The 19,421-nt window shown below is 44.5% G+C and overlaps 1 protein-coding gene across 1 annotated transcript in view; it reads left to right on the top strand.

The window, feature by feature from the left end:
• Positions 1–15,751, top strand: part of TNFRSF10A (TNF receptor superfamily member 10a) — a 34,651-nt gene extending 18,900 nt beyond the window's left edge. Inside the window, exons 3-10 of the mRNA NM_003844.4 lie at positions 3,442–3,555; positions 4,284–4,395; positions 5,443–5,516; positions 5,603–5,698; positions 6,286–6,317; positions 6,755–6,937; positions 8,999–9,071; positions 14,190–15,751. Of these exons, the coding sequence (NP_003835.3) occupies positions 3,442–3,555; positions 4,284–4,395; positions 5,443–5,516; positions 5,603–5,698; positions 6,286–6,317; positions 6,755–6,937; positions 8,999–9,071; positions 14,190–14,509 (1,004 nt within the window). The 3' untranslated portion in view covers positions 14,510–15,751. The remainder of the gene's footprint in view (positions 1–3,441; positions 3,556–4,283; positions 4,396–5,442; positions 5,517–5,602; positions 5,699–6,285; positions 6,318–6,754; positions 6,938–8,998; positions 9,072–14,189) is intronic.

Raw genomic sequence — 19,421 nt, 5'->3', positions numbered from 1 at the left:
AACTTTTTAATTTTTAAAACTTTTTCACTCGTTTTAACACTTAGCTTAAAAAACAAAAACTGTACAGCTGTACAAAAAATGTTCTTTCTTTATATTCGTATTCTATAAACATTTTTGTATTTTTAACTTAAACTTTTTTTTACTTAAAAATTTTTTTGTTAAAAACTAAGATAGAAACACAGACATTGGCCGGGCGCAGTGGCTCACACCTGTAATCCCAGCACTTTGGGAGGCCAAGGCAGGCGGATCACGAGGTCAGGAGATCGAGACCATCCTGGCTAACACAGTGAAACCCTGTCTCTACTAAAAATACAAAAAATTAGCTGGGCATGGTGGCAGGCACCTGTAGTCCCAGCTACTCGGGAGGCTGAGGCTGAGGCAGGATAATCGCTTGAACCTGAGAGGCAGAGGTTGTAGTGAGCTGAGATTGCGCCACTGCACTCCAGCCTGGGTGACGGAGTGTGACTCCTTCTCAAAAAAAAAAAAAAAAAGAAACACAGACATTAACCTAGGTCTACACAAGGACAGGTTCATCAACATCACTGTCTTTCACCTCCACATCTTGTCGCGTTGGAGGATCTTCAGGGGCAGACACACATGGAGCTGTCAACTCCTATGTCCTCTGATAACAATGCCTTCTTCTGGAAAACTGCATGAGGCTGTTTTATAGTTACCTTTTTTATTTGTAAGTAGGAGTACACTCTAAAATAACATTACAATGTATAGTATCAAAAATACATAAATCAGTAAGTCATTTATTATCATTATCAAATATTATATATAGAACTTCATTATATGTGCTATACTTTTAACTGGCAGTGAAGTAGGTTTGTTTACATCAGCATTACCACAAACACCTGAGTAACGCATTGACTTATGACATTACTAAGCGATAGGAATTTTCCTCCTCCATTATAATATTATGGGACCACCGTCACATATGTGGTTCATTGTTGACCGAAACGTCATCATGCAGTGCGTGACTATAATTTGAGTCTTATTTTTTCCCTGTGCTAATTTTTTAACACAATTAGTTGTGCCAATATATCGATCTATTTAAAGAACTAGATTTTGAGTTCATTAATTTACTCTGTTGTTTTTCTGTTCTCCGTCTCATTAATTTCTGCTCTAATCTGTATTATTTTCTTCCTTCTGCTTGCTTTATCTATAGTTTGCTCTTCTTTTTCGAGTGTCTTAGAGTGGATTATTAGGTTATAGATTGAGATATTTCTTCTTCCTTAATAGACATTTAGGAAGGATATTTCTTCTTCCTTAATAGACAATTTCTCTGTAAACTTCAGCTACGTTAGCTGTATCCCATAGGTTTTGGTATGTTGTGTCTTCATTTTCATTCGTCTTATTTTCTGATTTCTCTTTTGATTTCTTTTTAGACCAGTTGGTTATTTAGGAGTGTGCTATTTAATTTTTATATAGCTGTGATGTTCCCCAGTTTCTTCCTGCTATTGATTTCTAATTTTATTCCATTGTGGTAGGAGAGTGTATTTTGTATTATCTCTATCCTTTTAAGTGTATTGAGGTTTATCTTATGGCCAAGCATATGGTTTATTTTGGAGAATGTTCTATGTGCACTTTAAAAGAATGTGTATCTTGTTTTGATTGAGTAGAGTGTTTTATAGACATCTGTCCAGTCTAGTTGTTAATAGTGTTGTTCAAGTCTACTACTTTCTTGTTGATGTTCTTTCTAGATTTTTTTGGTATGAATTCCTATAGGTTAAGGAAACTATGCTTTGCAGTGTGGTTTTCATTGCAAGTATTTTCTCCTACTTTGTTTTCATCTTAGTCAAGATTTCTTCCATGCAGTTTTCTTCCTAATTTTCATATAGTTAACTTTATGCAACTTTTTAGTTTCTCGTGAGACTGAGAAGGTCCTTTCTCTCTCCAAACTTGTAAGAAAAATTTCTCATGCAGTACTTGTGTGATTTCATACTTTACAGTTGACACCTTGATAGACCTAGTCTCTATTTCCTTATAGGGAGAGCATAAGCAAGAAGCTTTATTATTTTTCAGCAGTAACCTTAGTTGCCCCAGCGCCATTACTGAATAATCATATTTTTATCATCGATAGTGTCATCATCATAACACATCAGCAAGGAAGTTTTTCCTTCACAGTGGCACGGTGGCTCACTCCTGTAATCCCAGCACTTTGGGAGGCCGAGGCAGGTGGATCATGAGGTCAGGAGATCGAGACCATCCTGGTGAAACCTAGTGAAACCCCGTCTCTACTAAAAATACAAAAAATTAGCCAGGCGTGGTGGCACGCTCCTGTAGTCCCAGCTACTCGGGAGGCTGAGGCAGGAGAATCGCTTGAACCCAGGAGGCGGAGGTTACAGTGAGCCAAGATCACGCCACTGAACTCCAGCCTGGTGAGAGAGCGAGACTCCATCTCAAAAAAAAAAAAAAGCCTTTATTATTTTTCAGTAGTAACCTTAGTTGCCCCAGCACTATTACTCAATAACCACATTTTTATAATTGGTAGTGTCGTCATCGTAACACATTATCAAGGAAGTTTTTTTTCCACAGTTTGGGTTTTCTAAGAGTATCTTTCAATATCAGTAAATATGAATCAGAGGAGAGGGATAAATAAATGGGCACTGAAAGGGGAGAGTGAGGTCACCTGAAGGGGCGAAGCCCTGGAGGTGAAGGTCGAGCCTCCAGACATGGGCTCCCGCTGGCGACAGCTCCTGCAGGCTGTCACCTCAGTGCCTGGAGACCCTCTGCAATCCAGGGCAGCATGAGGTAGGCCTTCTTTCTGTGGATCATTCTTTGACTCTGTATAGGGAGGACCCTTTTTCCTTCCATTTTCCTCCCATGGCAGGTGGCATGGGCTGTATCTGAAGCCTTCCCCTCATCGCTGTATTGTTTCTGCGCCTGTTTGTACCTTCTACTGACCAAGAGCTCACTGAGGGCAGGGATTAGGACTTTTTGTGAGTTTCCAGGGATGCAGGTGGCATTGCCCTGGTCTCTAGGCCTATGTGGCCATTAATCACTTAAAACACAGCCACTTTGAATTGAGATGTGCAGTGAGTGAAAAATACACTCTGGGTTTCGAACACTTAGTATTCAAAATAAAAGAAAATATCTCAATGTTTTATCTTGTTTACATGTTGAAATGCTAATGTTTTGGATATTTTAGGTCCAAAAAGTACATTGTTAAAATTAATTTGACCTCATTCTCTTTTTACTATTTTAATATGGCTCTCATAGAATTTGAATTTTGCATGTGGTTTGTATTGTATTTCTGTCAGCAGCGCCAGTCAGAGGTGTGTATAGATGCAGAATTGACGACAAGACCAAGCCAAGAAGATGGGATTTCTCTGTCTGGGGTCTACTGATGGCCAAAAGAAGAGTTTCCTAGCCACCGCCACGATCCTCTGGGAACTCTGTGGCAATTCATTCATTGGCTTTTCTCTCCCTTCCCAGGATCTCATAGATCAGAACATCCTGGAGCCTGTAACCGGTGCACAGAGGGTGTGGGTTACACCAATGCTTCCAACAATTTGTTTGCTTGCCTCCCATGTACAGCTTGTAAATCAGGTACAGAATGTGTGGACCTCTTGTCCAGAGGTGGAGTGAGGGGCAGTGAGGTGGGAGTGGTAGCCAATGTGAGTCAGGGAACCAAGTTCCAGCCCAACTTGGTCTTCATCATACCCTGTTCCATGGTTATGTCTTAGGTCCATAAAATGAAACAGAAAGAAATCATTTTTATAATGCATGCCACCTGGTAGTGCAAACTATCAGCTCCAAGAGGGTAGGGGCATCATTACAGCACAAAGAAGGCCTGGCTGAGTGGACAGGGCTGAGTTTCAGCGGTGGTACGGGTCTGCTCTGGGGCCACGCTCCCCCTGGGCTGTGTGCTCCTGGCAGGTTCTCAGGCTCACTCAGCCTTCAGTTTCTCAGGCGCCTCCCTCTTCCTCAGCAGGCTGGGTTTTTGGGAAGTCACCCAAGGGCTCCTCTTCTTGCAGACTCTCTCACATACCATGTGCCTCCTTTGCTACTGACCATGCGATCTAAATGGTGCTTTTTCCCTAATCTGATGTAATAAATAATGAATCATGGTCCTTTTGTATGACTCCAAGTGTTGGTGACAGCTGAAGGGTGGGTGTCCTGTGTGAGCCCGAGTGTGCTGGTGCAGAATCTGGCCCTCAGAACTCCTTGGCAAACTGAGTTGAGCTGAGCTGAGGGGGAGGGAGTTGGGGTGGTGAGGAAAGGTCAAGGGACACGTCAGGGAAACACATTCCCAAAACCTTGTACTCTGTCATCAGATGAAGAAGAGAGAAGTCCCTGCACCACGACCAGGAACACAGCATGTCAGTGCAAACCAGGAACTTTCCGGAATGACAATTCTGCTGAGATGTGCCGGAAGTGCAGCAGAGGGTGAGACAACAGCCAAGGGGCTCCCAGCAGCCTCAAAGAACCCACAGAAGCAAGGAACCCTAAAAAGACCCGAGTCTCCTTGTACCCGTATCTATCAGCCCTGACCCCATGGTGCCTCCACCCCCATAGGTGTCCCTGAGCCTGTGGCGTCTCCTGAGCCTGCAACCTGCCCCTCCTGGTCCATCTGCCTGTCCCCACCCCTGTCCCCTGCAGTGGCCCCTTCTCACCCCTCCCCAGCACTAGTCCCCTTGGCCAGGCTGACTTGTTCACTAGGCACAGGAGGCCATGACTTAGGGCCCACAACAGAGGTACATGAAATATTTTATCTTGAAATCATAAGAAAATAATGGTATAGAATCCAGCTGGGGTTATATTTATATTTAAACAAATTGAGTCATAAAATGTAATTTTTAATATTTGCTTTTAATTCAAGAAGACAGAAATGCCCACAGCCCGCAAAAATCATAATAAGGCCATGGGTGGAGCTCCTTCAAGTTCCCATGAGGACCTGAGCCCACCCAGCCAGCCTCACCCCTGGCCCCTGATTTCTCAATAAGTCCTGTCTTTTTCCTATTTTGGTTTTGGAAGCAAAGAGTAATTGCTCTTCTCTGGTCCTCCAGTGTTTGCTGTGATTGAGAGGAACCAGCAGACAGGTGGGGGCGAGGGCTCACTTGTACTGTGGGTTAACTGGAGGAAGGGGCTCAGCTTGTGGCCACACGGGCTTGTGATCTTCCCCTGGAGTGTGATTCCTCCTAACGCAGGCCTCCCCTGCAGCCCAGGGAAGATTAGTGTGTGCCCAGCACAGAAGGCTCCTGGAACTGCAGCTCTGACCCCAGAGCAGGGAGGCCAAGGGGGTAAAGTGTGCATGCTCAGACCCTTCCCCAGCCTAAACAAGGGAGCATAGGGGGACCCCCTGCAGATACGAGGAGACTATCCTTCCCCTGACGCCTTCTCAGGGACATTGGGCAGGGAGAGTGGCTCCTCTTTCATCCCACCTGGCCAGCTTTCCATCAAGAGTCCCCCCCCTCCCTCCCTGTGTGTACCCAGGTGCCCCAGAGGGATGGTCAAGGTCAAGGATTGTACGCCCTGGAGTGACATCGAGTGTGTCCACAAAGAATCAGGTACAAAGCCCACTGGGGAAGCCCCAGCTGCAGAGGAGACAGGGACCAGCAGCCCGAGACTCCTGTCTTTTCCTGTCTTTTCTCAGGCAATGGACATAATATATGGGTGATTTTGGTTGTGACTTTGGTTGTTCCGTTGCTGTTGGTGGCTGTGCTGATTGTCTGTTGTTGCATCGGCTCAGGTAGGTGCTGGCTGAGGGCAAGGGCTCTGGGCACTCTCTGCCCTGCCTTCTTCTGTTCCCACAGACAGAAACGCTCACCCCTGCCCCAAGTCCTAGTGTCTCTGGCCGGGCTCTATCTTCCTCCTTGTGATCACCCCCCATCCTCCCATCCTGTGCAACCCTAGGGCCCTGGTGTCATCCGTCCCTCTCCCAAGGCTGGGGGTCCCCTCATCTCCCAGCCAAGTCTGGGAAGGCAGGGCCAGTTCCTCCACTGGTCAGGCCCATCCAGGCAGGGGGCAGTCAGCTCCTCAACTGGATGACAAGAGTCGAGACGAGAAGTGGTTGTGGGATTTATGTAGCTTTGTTCAGAGCAAAACACAGAGCAGAAAACAGTGATGTTCCACTTGTTTGTTTTTAGCCTACTTCCCTTTATGCTCCCCGCTCCTGAAGGATCTCCCGAGTTAGCAGGGCCTCATGTGGATCCCCAGGCCCGGGGATCTTTGTCCAGTGTCCCAGCCCCCAGCCCACCCCTGCCCAACACTGCCCTCTAAGAAGGAGTGCTGCATGGGCCCCTCCCTGGCCACTAAGGGAACCGTCTTCTCTTCTAGGTTGTGGAGGGGACCCCAAGTGCATGGACAGGGTGAGTTGATTTCTCCAGGAGCTGGGGGCATCAGGGGCTCAGGAACTGCTTCTTGCCCACAGTGTAGTCCAGGTGGGTGGGTCCCCGTGCTCTCATGGCTGCCCTGAGTCTCTGAAGTGGCCTGGATGCTGTGCATTGACTATGGGGGACACAGGCCCTTTTGAGCATCATACAGGCTGGTGGGCCATTCTGTAGCCCTGTGCTTCCTACAGCCCAGGTGAGACCCTTACCCCACAGCCTGTACCCTGGGGATGGGGTGAGCCCCCAAGCCCAGCACCAGGGCCTGGCCCCAGCAGCAGGTCCTGGATGTGCTGAGCATGGACTTCCTGGAGTGACCTCACTGGGAGGGGGTGGTGGCAGCAGGTCCAGCCGTGCCCTACGGACCCCGTGGGGAGCCCTGGGTGTGGGCTTCTGAGTTGGCTCTTTGCCTTCCTAAGGTGTGTTTCTGGCGCTTGGGTCTCCTACGAGGGCCTGGGGCTGAGGACAATGCTCACAACGAGATTCTGAGCAACGCAGACTCGCTGTCCACTTTCGTCTCTGAGCAGCAAATGGAAAGCCAGGAGCCGGCAGATTTGACAGGTGTCACTGTACAGTCCCCAGGGGAGGCACAGTGTCTGCTGGTGAGTTGGGGACAGGCCCCTCCAAGACCTTGTAGGCAGGGGGTGAAGGCCATGCCTCGGCTCTCCTGGTCAAAGGGGAAGTGGAGCCTGAGGGAGATGGGACTGCAGGGGACGGGGCTGCGTGGGAAAAAGCAGCCACCCTCACAAGGGGACAGGCACTCTTCCAAATGTCTGCTTCTTAGTCCCTGTCCTGTCCTTGCCATGTCCTCAGAAACTGGAGCTCCAGAGGAATAGAGTGGGGGTCACAGGGTTTGTTGATGACTGAATAAGGCTGCACGGTCTCCACTGTGTGCTCCTACAGAAGTTAGGGAGCCCTTGCTCATAACAGCAGGGATTTTAAATTTACTCTGAAATTATTATTGCATTAAACATATTTGGATCTAAATCTCTGCCCAAATTTCTGCATATGGTTGTATGGAGGATTCCAAGAAGAAGCACAATTTCCAAGTCAGCCTGTAACAGTGCTGCTTACTGTGTACACGCACATACACGCACATGCACACACATGCATGTACACACATGCACACACACATGCACGTACCCACACATACAGGTACACACATGCACACAGCCCCCTAGTGTTGGTTTGTACCAGTTCATGTATTTTGATTTGACATTGAAGGGCTTTTTCTTTTCTTTTTTTTTCTTTTTTTTGCTATTTAGGAAAACATTGTTTTAAACGAACATTTCTTTGTTTTCACTGTTTTTGCGTAAGATCAGTGTCTTGTCTCTCAGAGTCTTTATGAGAAGGCCTGCTCTCCTACTCATGCTTTTTCTCACATTCAGACAGTAGATTCCTAATTTCTTCTTGCCCCTTTTTGTTCTAATATTTTCAGGTGTAGAAGCTTTAATTTTTAACCAGTGAAATCTGTAGATACTTTTACCTTTTCATTGCTCACTACTGTAGAAAGACCTTTTGCCAACACAAGACGAACTCCTCTAACTTCTTATGGAGATATTTTTTTCAATGATGTGATTTTTGCATATAACTTTATAATCTAAATGGAACTTGTTTTGTGTTTCAGTGCAAAGCGAGGCACTCCCTGAATTGTTCTAGTCACTGTCTGGTTTTTCCAACCCCTTTGAGCTGCCGATTCTCCCATTTCCCTCTGCTTTGGGTCCCTCCTTAATCACAGGTTAAATGCTCATCTAGACAATGATCTCCTTCCACCTAGACTGTTCCATTCAGTTCCTTTCTTGCATTAGTACCCATTTATTCTAACCAAAAATGTAATTAAAAAAAAAAGAAGGCAAACATTAAAAAGGTCAATAATCTCCAGCTTGATAAGGTGCTTTGACATGAACAAATAGTTTATATATTTAAAATGAGAAAATTTAAACTATCAAAAGGTACTCAGTAAGTAAAGAGAGCATCCTCCACTCTGCAGTGCCCTGGGTCTTTTTCCTCAAGTAACTATGAGATATCATTTCTTGTGATTCTTTGTCCAAATCTATGCATCAGTGTATGTGTATACAAAAGACATTATATTATTAACGAATGGTCCCCAACCTTTTGGCACCAGGGACCAGTTTTGTGGAAGACAATTTTTCTATGGACTGGGAGGTGAAGATGGTTTGGGGATGATTCAAGCACATTACGTTTATTGTGTACTTTATTTCTATTCTTATCACATTATAATATATAATGAAATAATTATACAACTTATCATAATGTAGAGTCAGTGGGAGCCCTGAGCTTGTTTTCCTGCAACGAGATGGTCCTATCTGAGGGTGATGGGAGACGGTGACAGATAATCAGGCATAAGATTCTCATAAGGAGTATGCAACCCAGATCCCTGACGTGCACAGTTCACAATAGGGTTTGCACTCCTATAAGAATCTAATGTTGCCACTGATCTGACCGGGTGGAGCTGAGGTGGTAATGCCAGCAATGGGGAGTGGCTGTGAGCTATGTGGGACCAGAGGTTTTTCACCATCTCCATGGTGACCCAAGGGGGAAAGTGATGTGCTGCAGGTTTCCGGGCTGGCTGATGGTCAGAGTCAGTACTAGACTGCAGGACCCCTGACTCAGACCAAGGCATTCCCCACTGTGTGTTACAGGGACCGGCAGAAGCTGAAGGGTCTCAGAGGAGGAGGCTGCTGGTTCCAGCAAATGGTGCTGACCCCACTGAGAGTAAGTGTTTTGCTCCTGGAGATGCAGCAGAAATGGTGGGAATAGGGACGGTGTCCTAACTGGTGTCCCCATTGCTGAGAGTGCTCTTCCAGAGCATTCCATGCCAGAAACTGGGGGTCCTATGCTATAGACCATCAAGACCCTAAATTGTCTTCTCCCATCTCTTCTTCCCACTCTACCTCATCCTTTCTGCACCCTATTAATGACACTAGCCACTCTGTCTATCCTCTTCTCCACCTCCTCTCTTCTCCTTTGTTGTTCAGGAGAACAACAGCCCTGAGGGGCTGCCCTGTCCTGCATGGCACCACTGACTTCAGTGGGCTAATAGCTCTTTATCTGTGCCTAAGCCCAATTTGCAGAGCTGTTGTATAAACTACATACTGATTCCAAAGACTTAATGCAAGAAAGAATGGAAAATATTCCACTCATTATTTTGTTACCGAAACACCAGGTGTTGGGTCTAGGTCTTGGTGCTCACTGCACAGAGGGCCAATCACTGAGACAATTAGTATTGACAAGGAAGAATACTTTCATTGAGTGCTGTAGGCAAGGAGATGGGAGCTCAGTCTCCAATTCATGTCCCCTGATGGACTAAAACTAGGGGTTTATATAGTAGGGATAAAATGTAACAATGTGGGCCGGGCACGGTGGCTTATGCCTGTAATCCCAGTACTTTGGGAGGCCGAGGCGGGCGAATCACAAGGTCAGGAGATCGAGACCATCCTGGCTAACATGGTGAAACCCCTTCTGTACTAAAAATACAAAAAAAAATTAGCCAGGCGTATTGGCGGGCGCCTGTAGTCCCAGCTATTCGGGAGGCTGAGGCAGGAGAATGGCATGAACCCGGGAGGCAGAGCTTGCAGTGAGCCAAGATAGCGCTACTGCACTCCAGCCTGGGTGACAGAGCAAGACTCTGTCTCAAAAAAACAAAAAAGTAACAATGTGTAAGAAAACAGGAACTAGGGAGGGGTAAGGAAGCAATCAAGATGAATGAGGGGTCCAGCATCCCATTGGATGTAGTGATTTGTAAGTTTCAGTTCTTTGATACTTTGAGAGGCCTGAAGGTCATTTCCTGAAAAAGGAACTCAGATAAAACAAATGTAAGATTTGAGCTTTAAGAACAGAAGGGTCAATTTCTATGTTTATCAAAACAACAACAACAACAAAAAAACCTTTTGATGGACATATTGGGTTGATTTCAGTTCTCCCTTTCTATTTATCAATCCCACAGTCACAGAGAGTCTGGTCCTGGATCTTTCTGGCTGCTTCATGGTTGAGGAGGGGCATCATGGGAAGCTTCACATACCATGGGTGACCTCATGGCCACCCAGGAATCAAAGGTTAATTTAATACTAAAAGATTGTGTTTCTTCTGAAACACAATCTCTCTCTCTCGGCCCCACTTCCACCAAAGACAAATTATAGCAGGACCAATGTACCTGCAAAATAAGTTTAGTTCCATATACGTGGCCTGATTACCCACACAAAGTGCAGCAAAAATCACTGTCCACATAGGCTCTCCTAAGTTGGCTTTGCTGGAACCTCTCACGAGGCCATTGCAATCAAAGCCCTGAGAAAATAACCATTTTATCCAACTGTGTTCCATTGTAAAAGAAAACGTTGTTATTAACCATATGTAAGCAAACACATTGCCATGAATTAATAGTCACAAATAATTTAAAAATTCTAGAGAAATTAGGCAGAGAGAGAAATATGCCTCAAATTCTGTTTACAAAAGTATACTCAATATACTTAAAGTATACTTAAAGGCTATAAATAGCAAAGAAGAAAAAAGTTCTCCAGACTGGAAAACAAAACCAAAAGAATCAGCAATATTTCAAACCAACAAAAGCCATACGAATTATTTCAGTCCTCTATTAGTTCAGTCCACTCAATCAGCTCCTGCCCAGCTTCATGTTTGGTTAACAATCACAATCTTTATGAACACATCAGTCTTTCTTCTTTTTTTGTTTTGAGACAGAGTCTCACTCTGTCACCCACGCTGGAGTGCAGTGGTGCAATCTCATCTCACTGCAACCTCCACCTCCTGGGTTCTAGCAATTCTCACGCCTCAGCCTCCTGAGTAGCTGGGACCACAGGTGTGCACCACCACATCTGGGTACTTTTTGTATTTTTAGTAGAGACAGGGTTTTGCCACGTTGGCCAGTCTGGTCTCAAACTCCTGGCCTCAAGTGATAGACATTCGCCTGCCTTGGCCTCCCAAAGTGCTGGGATTACAGACATGAGCCAATGCGCCTGGCCACACATTGGTCTTTCAGTTACTGCACTGGAAGTTTTCTCTGTAATCCAATGACAACAATTTTTAATTATATGAAAAATTTACTTAAAACATCCCATTTACATTTACTCAATTCTTTCATTTTTAAGTTTATCCAGATTGCTTCTGAAAATTGAGATATTAGACACCATCATTTAAAGTTAGTTAATTTCTTTGTCAGCCATTTTTTTAATAGCCAGTGAACATCAGGTGCTCACCTAAGAGCTTCAAAGTTAAATATATAGATATTTTCACCAATAAGTCAGAAGACTCAGCTGTTTTCATTAAACCAACAACATTAATTTAATCTTACTTATCAAAAGCTTGACTCAAAGATCATTTTGTTTTGGTTGGGCTTGTAGTCTTAAGTTTTTGTGCCAAACTGATATCTCAAAATATCTAGCAAAGACAAATATAAGCCCAGACAAAAATGTATGCTGACAATTCTGAAGACACTTCTGTTTTCTTATTTTACCAATAATTTTAAAGCTGACTTGTTTAGTAAGGATTTACTTAAGTCACATGAACTTGAAAATTGCTTGGAATTATTTACTTTATTTATGAGTACTCTTTTACTTATAAGTCAATTTGGTAGACACAACATGTAACTTAATAATAAATGTACATACACATAAACACATCTAGACCTATATGCACACACAAAGATCCAATAGCTTTTACCTTTGAACTCTCTCCATGAGACAGTAATACAAACTCACCAGTCTACAAATATGTTCACATGGCTGAAATTTGTTAGCTCCAATAGATAATTCAGTGAAGGTTGTGAACCCAAATTTTAGGTAAAGCAGTTTCCATGGCAGTTTGATTTTTAAAGGCCAAACCTCTGCAGACTCCAAACAGCATCGCAGAGAACACCACCTAGAACCAACTAATCAGGCCCAATGCTGCTTAGAACAGCAACATAAAAGCCTGGATACAGGAACTCCATCCTACTTTCTCATTCAGCAGCAAACTTCAGTTTCCAAGCAATATTGGAGCCAAACAGTATTACAAAAGAATACCAAGTTTACTGAATTCCAATTTCCCATGACTCTAGCAAACACATAGAAATAATCACCAAAACATAATACAACTGCTGCAGCAACAAACAAGCTCCAAGAGTGTCCAGACTGAAACAGGCAGGGTGCTTCCTCTCTCCATTGGTTAGGTTTGATCAACCTGCCAACAAAAATTGCTTTCAAATTTCTCAAATTGAGAGGAGCCAGTCGTGCTGCCTGGTACCCACAAAAGACACTCACTTGCCCTGAAACAACACACAATTACAAACAAGCCTCCAAGAGTGTCCAGACTGAAAGGCAGAGTGCTTCCCTCTCACAGTCACTTGGGCCTGTTCAACCTGCAAATGGAAATTCCTTTAAAAATTTCTCAAACTGAGAAGAGCAGATCCTGCTGTCTGGGCCCACAAAGGACAATCACCTGTCTGGATGCAAATGTCAAATTTCAAAGGCAGTTCTTCGGAAGTAATCAGGAATGTGGTTGGGGCCGGCTGCAGTGGGACCTGAGAGAGACTGAAACTCACCTCCAGCCAAAGTTAGCGGGGCAACTGCTTGGGAGGGCTTCTGAGTCTCCTGGCCCATGGCAGCAGAGCCATGAGCAACACTTTCCCAGCCAGGGAACCAAAACCTGTTACCAAAACCTCAGGGGTTTGGTCTAGGTCCCGCTGCTCGCTGCACAGAAAGCCAGTCACTGAGATGATGAGTATTGCCAAGAAGGCTTTAATAGGGTGCTGCAGTGGAAGAGATGGGAGCTCAGTCTCAACTGTATCTCCCTGACCAACTAAAACTAAGGGTTTATATAGGAGGCAAGAAATGTAACAATGTGTAAGAAAGTAGGAGCTAGAATGGGGCAAGGAAACAATCAAGATGAATGAGGGGTCCCACATCCCATCATGGTCTGGATGTAGTGATCTGGTGAGTTTCAGTTCTTTGCTACTTTTTTTGAGATGCTTGCAGGTCTTTCCTGAGGAAGTAACTCAGATAAAACAAATGTTAAGTTTCCAGTCGTTAAGGACCAGAAGGGTCAATTTCTGTTTATCAAAAAAACCTTTCTATGGGACAATTGGGTCAGTTTCAGTTTTTGTATACTCATTGCATATTAAATTATATTTTACACATATTCAGTACCACACATTAAAATGAATGTCACTTTTTTCTTTTTATGTTCTTTAAATGAGGCTGTTAGAAAACATAGCTTGGTACTCCTGGCCCCTTCTATCCCTGTGGATGGTGGTGTGCAGTGCTTTGCACACACATCTCATTTCATTCAATCCCTGGTAGTCCTGAGATCTGGGCAGGTTTGCTCTGTCTTCAGGTTTGCTTCTTGGTCAGGGCCTGCTTGCCCCCACCTAGCTCTGCCCCAGCCTCAGGGAGGGCAGAGGTCCCCTGCCCCAGACCCTGCACTTTCCACAGATGCAGAAGTGGCCACCCTGGGACATGCTCCCATGACAAGCGCAGCCCAGGCAGCCCGCATCCTCTGAGCTCCCGCTGCAGCCACTCTCCCTCCCTCCCTCGGGCTCTCACCCACTTTGCTTTCTGCCTCCGTAGGGTCAATCCATCCTCCCCAGGTGGGTTCTCAGCCCTCTCTGAGGGCAGATTCTCTGGTGACCTTGACGCCCGTCAGCGCCTTGGGGGCCACAGAGGCCAGGCAGTGTGGGTGGGCTCTCTGTGGATGGGAGGTGGGTGGGCAATGGAGCAACAGGTTTGCCCATGCAGGGGGCTCTCCAGGTTCTCTCCTTGGGTTCTGGGCCTGATGTGGGATCCTCTGCCCCTTCTGAACTGAGTCCCAACTCATCTGGCTGTCTCTGTGGCTTTCTCCACCCAGCTCTGATGCTGTTCTTTGACAAGTTTGCAAACATCGTGCCCTTTGACTCCTGGGACCAGCTCATGAGGCAGCTGGACCTCACGAAAAATGAGATCGATGTGGTCAGAGCTGGTACAGCAGGCCCAGGGGATGCCTTGTATGCAATGCTGATGAAATGGGTCAACAAAACTGGACGGAACGCCTCGATCCACACCCTGCTGGATGCCTTGGAGAGGATGGAAGAGAGACATGCAAGAGAGAAGATTCAGGACCTCTTGGTGGACTCTGGAAAGTTCATCTACTTAGAAGATGGCACAGGCTCTGCCGTGTCCTTGGAGTGAAAGACTCTTTTTACCAGAGGTTTCCTCTTAGGTGTTAGGAGTTAATACATATTAGGTTTTTTTTTTTTTTAACATGTATACAAAGTAAATTCTTAGCCAGGTGTAGTGGCTCATGCCTGTAATCCCAGCACTTTGGGAGGCTGAGGCGGGTGGATCACTTGAGGTCAGAAGTTCAAGACCAGCCTGACCAACATCGTGAAATGCCGTCTTTACAAAAAAATACAAAAATTAACTGGATGTGATGGTGTGTGCATATATTCTCGGCTACTCGGGAGGCTGAGGCAGGAGAATCACTTGAACCCACGAGGCAGTGAGCTGAGATTGCACCACTGCACTCCAGCCTGGGACACAGAGCAAGACTCTGTCTCAAGATAAAATAAAATAAACTTGAAAGAATTATTGCCCGACTGAGGCTCACATGCCAAAGGAAAATCTGGTTCTCCCCTGAGCTGGCCTCCGTGTGTTTCCTTATCATGGTGGTCAATTGGAGGTGTTAATTTGAATGGATTAAGGAACACCTAGAACACTGGTAAGGCATTATTTCTGGGACATTATTTCTGGGCATGTCTTCGAGGGTGTTTCCAGAGGGGATTGGCATGCGATCGGGTGGACTGAGTGGAAAAGACCTACCCTTAATTTGGGGGGGCACCGTCCGACAGACTGGGGAGCAAGATAGAAGAAAACAAAAAAAAAAGGAAAAGCAAATCCATCTGATCTCCTGGAGCTGGGACACTCTTCTGCCTGTGGACATCAGAGTCTAGGATTTCTAGCCCTTGGACTCCAGGGCATACACCAGTGGCCTCCCGAAGGATCTAAGGATTTTGGCCTTGAACTAAGAATTACACCATCGGCTTCCCTGGGTCTTAGGTTTTTGGGCTGGATTAAGTCCTGCTTCCAGCATTTCAGGGTCTCTGCTGTGCAGATGGCCTGTTGTGGAACTTCTCAACCTCCATTATCAGATGCATTAATTCCTCCAATAAGTCCCATTTCATATATAGTCATTTACCCCACAACATTTCAGTCAAGGGAACAGCATATAAGATGGTGGCCGTCCAGTAAGCTAAGGTTAATTTATTAATTATTTAATTTATTTACCTTGAGTTCAAGTCACAATTAAAGTACATATACCTTTGGAAATTTGGACTTTTGTATATAAAAGTACTTTTTTTTGGCGGGGGCAGTGGGCAGCTCTCATCCTAAACAAATGTGTTATTTGGTACCTATGCAAAGATTTGGTTAAAAGAAAGAAAAGAATTGCTTCCATAAATGGAGCATTTTCTTAGAAAAACTGGAGCCCATCTAAATGTTTTTCAAGGTCACGTGATCTGAGATAATCTTTAGTAAATAGAAAGCTAGTTTAAGTTTCTTGGTTTAATTAAAACAGACAATTCTTAAGAGTTGTCAACATTATTTACAGTTCACACATACAACTTCTACCTGGATTTACTAATCAAAACACTTACGTGTGGCCGGGCATGGTGGCTCACGCCTGTAATCCCAGCACTTTGGGAGGCCGAGGTGGGTGGATCACAGGGTCAGGAGATCAAGACCATCCTGGTTAACACGGTGAAACCCCGTCTCTACTAAAAATACAAAAAATTAGCCGGGCGTGGTGGTGGGTGCCTGTAGTCCCAGCTACTCGGGAGGCCGAGGCAGCAGAATGGCGTGAACCTGGGAGGCTGAGCTTGCAGTGAGCCGAGATCGTGCCACTGCACTCCAGCCTGGGTGACAGAGCGAGACTCCGACTCAAAAAAAAAGAACACTTATGTGTCTTTAAGATCATAAAACTGTAAATTCAACTGAAGAACAAAATGCACAAGGAAAAGATAAATTTCTTGATATATATGAAACACAAGAAAGAAAAAGAAGATTGAAAAGAGCCATATGTTTTCAATGTATGTTTCTTTGTATTTTGTGTGTTTTTATGTGTTTATTTTTGTGTTTTTTTATGTTATGTGATGTTTGTGTATTTTTGATATTTTTATAAGATGTCTACCTCCTTTTTTTTTTTTTTGAGACAGAGTCTCTTGTCACCCAGACTGGAGTGCAGTGGCAACGATCTCCACTCACTGCAAGCTCCGCCTCCTGGGTTCACACCATTCTCCTGCCTCAGCCTCCTGAGTAACTGGGACTACAGGCACCCACCACCAAACCTGGCTAATTTTTTGTATTTTTAGTAGAGACAGGGTTTCACCGTGTTAACCAGGATGGTCTGGATCTCCTGACCTCGTGATCCACCCACCTCGGCCTCCCAAAGTGCTGGGATTATGGGCGTGAGCCACTGCACCTAGCCAAGATGTCTACTTTTAAATATTTTTATATTTAATTTTTGGTAACTTAAAAATCTTATATTAACCTAAGTTAAATGATGGTTATTTGTATTAGTCTGTTTTCTGTTGCTATCACTGAATACCTCAGAGTAGGGAGTGGGTAATTTATAAAGAAAATAAATTTATGTATTATGGTTCTTGGGGCTAGGAAGTCCAAGGGCAGTCAACAGGCCAAATCTAGGGAGGGCCTTCTTGCTAATGGGCTCTGATATGGTTTGGATCTGTGGCCCCACCAAAGTCTCATGTTGAATTGTAGTCCCCAGTGTTGGAGGTGGGGCCTGGTGGAGGTGATTGGATTATGAGGGCAGATTTCTCATAAATGTTTTAACACCATTCCTCTCGGTACTGTCCTTCTGACAGTGAGTGAGTTCTCATGAGATCTGATTGTTAAAAAATGTGTGGCACCTCCCCATTCTCTCTTCCTCCTGCTCTGGCCATGTGAAGTGCTGTCTTCCTTTGCCTTCTGCTGTGATTGTAACTTTCCTGAGGCCTCCCTAGAAGCCAAGCAGATGCCAGCATCATGCTTCCTGTACAGCTTGTGGACCTGTGTGCCAAATAAACCTCTTTTCTTTATAAATCACCCAGTGTCTGGTACTAATTTATAGCAATGTGAGAACAAACTAATACAAAGTCTCTCTGCAGCGTCCCAAGTTGGTGCAGGAATTATATGGCAAGGGGACTCACTGAGAGACAAACAGCCTTTTACAACAGAGTCACACTGTATTAGTCTGTTTTGCATTGCTATAAAGAAATACCTAAGCCTGAGTAATTTATAAAGAAAAGAAGTTAATTAGCTCACGGTTCTGCAAGCTGTACAGGAAGCATGGCAGCTTCTGCTTCTAGGAGACCTCAGGAAGCCTCCAATCATGGCAGAAGGCAAAGGGGGAGTGAGCTGTCTCACATGGCCAGAGCAGGAGGTAGAGAGGGGAAGGTGCCACACACTTACAAACAACCAGATCTCAGGACAACTCACTCAGTATCAGGAGAACAGCACCACAAAATTGTGGTTAATCATTCATGAGAAGCCTCCCACGACCCAATCACCTCCCACCAGGCCTTACCTCCAACATCTGGGATTACAATTCAACATGAGATTTGGTGGGAACACAGATCCAAACCATATCACGCACAAATTGCAATTACTTCACACTCACGATAACCCATTAATCTGTGAAGGATTAATCTGTTCATGAAGGCAGGGCCCTCATGATGGAATCACATCTTAAAGCCCCTACGTCTGAGTACTGTTACATTGGGGATTTAGTTTTAATATGATTTTCAGAGCAGAAAAACATTCAAACCATAGCAATATGTATTGAATATCTAGATCATTTCCAAATAAGATATTAATATGATACTGAAACATTTATTGCTGAACATAAATTTAGAACTTACTTTGCCTACCTATTACAGAAGAACAAAAGATATTTGGGCCTATTAAACCTTTCCTCTGCCATTTCCTGTCCTGTGTCATAGGACTAGGAATCGTGTTTCTAGAAAGTATGAAATCGTGTGCTTGCAAACTTGGAAGAAAACAGTTCATGACTGCATACCTTCTAGTTCTCTAGTGTTCACTGGAAATTAAAGACACTAAAAGTTAACAATTCTTATTAATTAATCATATTAATGTAATTGGAATTTCTAGAAATATTAGGGGAAGCAACTTTATACGCAAAGCATAACAGAAAAATAAGGTGTATTTTTTCTTTGAAACCTATGAAATATACTGGCCAGGCACGGTGGCTCATGCTTGTAATCCCAGCACTTTGGGAAGCTGAGGCGGTGGATCACCTGAGCTCAGGAGTTCGAGACCAGCCTGGCCAACATGTTGAAACCATGTCTCTACTAAAAATACAAAAATTAGCCAGTCATGGTGGCAGGTGCCTGTAACCCCAGTTACTCCGGAGGCTGAGGTGGGAGAATCGCTTGAACCCAGGAGGTGGAGGTTGCAGTGAGCCAAGATAGCACCACTGCACTCCAGCCTGGGCGACAAAGCAAGACTCTTTCTAAAAAAACAAAAATGAATAAACAAAAAAACTATGAGACAGAAAAGATGGGTTTTTGTTAAAATAAAAAATAATATTGTTTTAGTTTGAAAATTATTCAAAGGTTGTTTCAAAATGAATCAATAAAAAACATAAAACTGAATGGATATTGTCTTAGTCTATTTTGTGCTACTATAACAGAACATCTGAGACTGAGTGATTTACGTAAATATGCAGATTGATTTTTTACTGCTCTGGAGGTTTGGAAGTCCAAGGTCAAGGGGCCCATATTTGGTGAGGGCCTTCTTGTGGCCTCATCACCTGGTGAAAGGTGGAAGGACAAGAGGGCATACATGGGAGGAAGGGAAAATGTGCAAGAGGGGGACAAACTCACTTTTATAACCAATCTACTCCTGCAATAACGAACCCACTCCCACAATAATGTATTAATCCATTCATGTGGGAAGTACCCTCTTGATCTAATCATCCCTTAAAGGTCCCACCTCCCCCCACTGTTGCATTTGGAATTAAGTTTCCAACACATGAACTTTGGGGGCACACAAAAATCACAGCAGAAATAAAAAGTTAGAGAAAACA

The sequence above is a fragment of the Homo sapiens genome, chromosome 8, assembly GCF_000001405.40.
Source record: "Homo sapiens chromosome 8, GRCh38.p14 Primary Assembly".
NCBI classification, from domain to species: domain Eukaryota; kingdom Metazoa; phylum Chordata; class Mammalia; order Primates; family Hominidae; genus Homo; species Homo sapiens.
The sequence above is the reverse complement of the archived record's forward strand: the minus strand, read 5'-3'. Positions and strand labels throughout refer to the sequence as shown.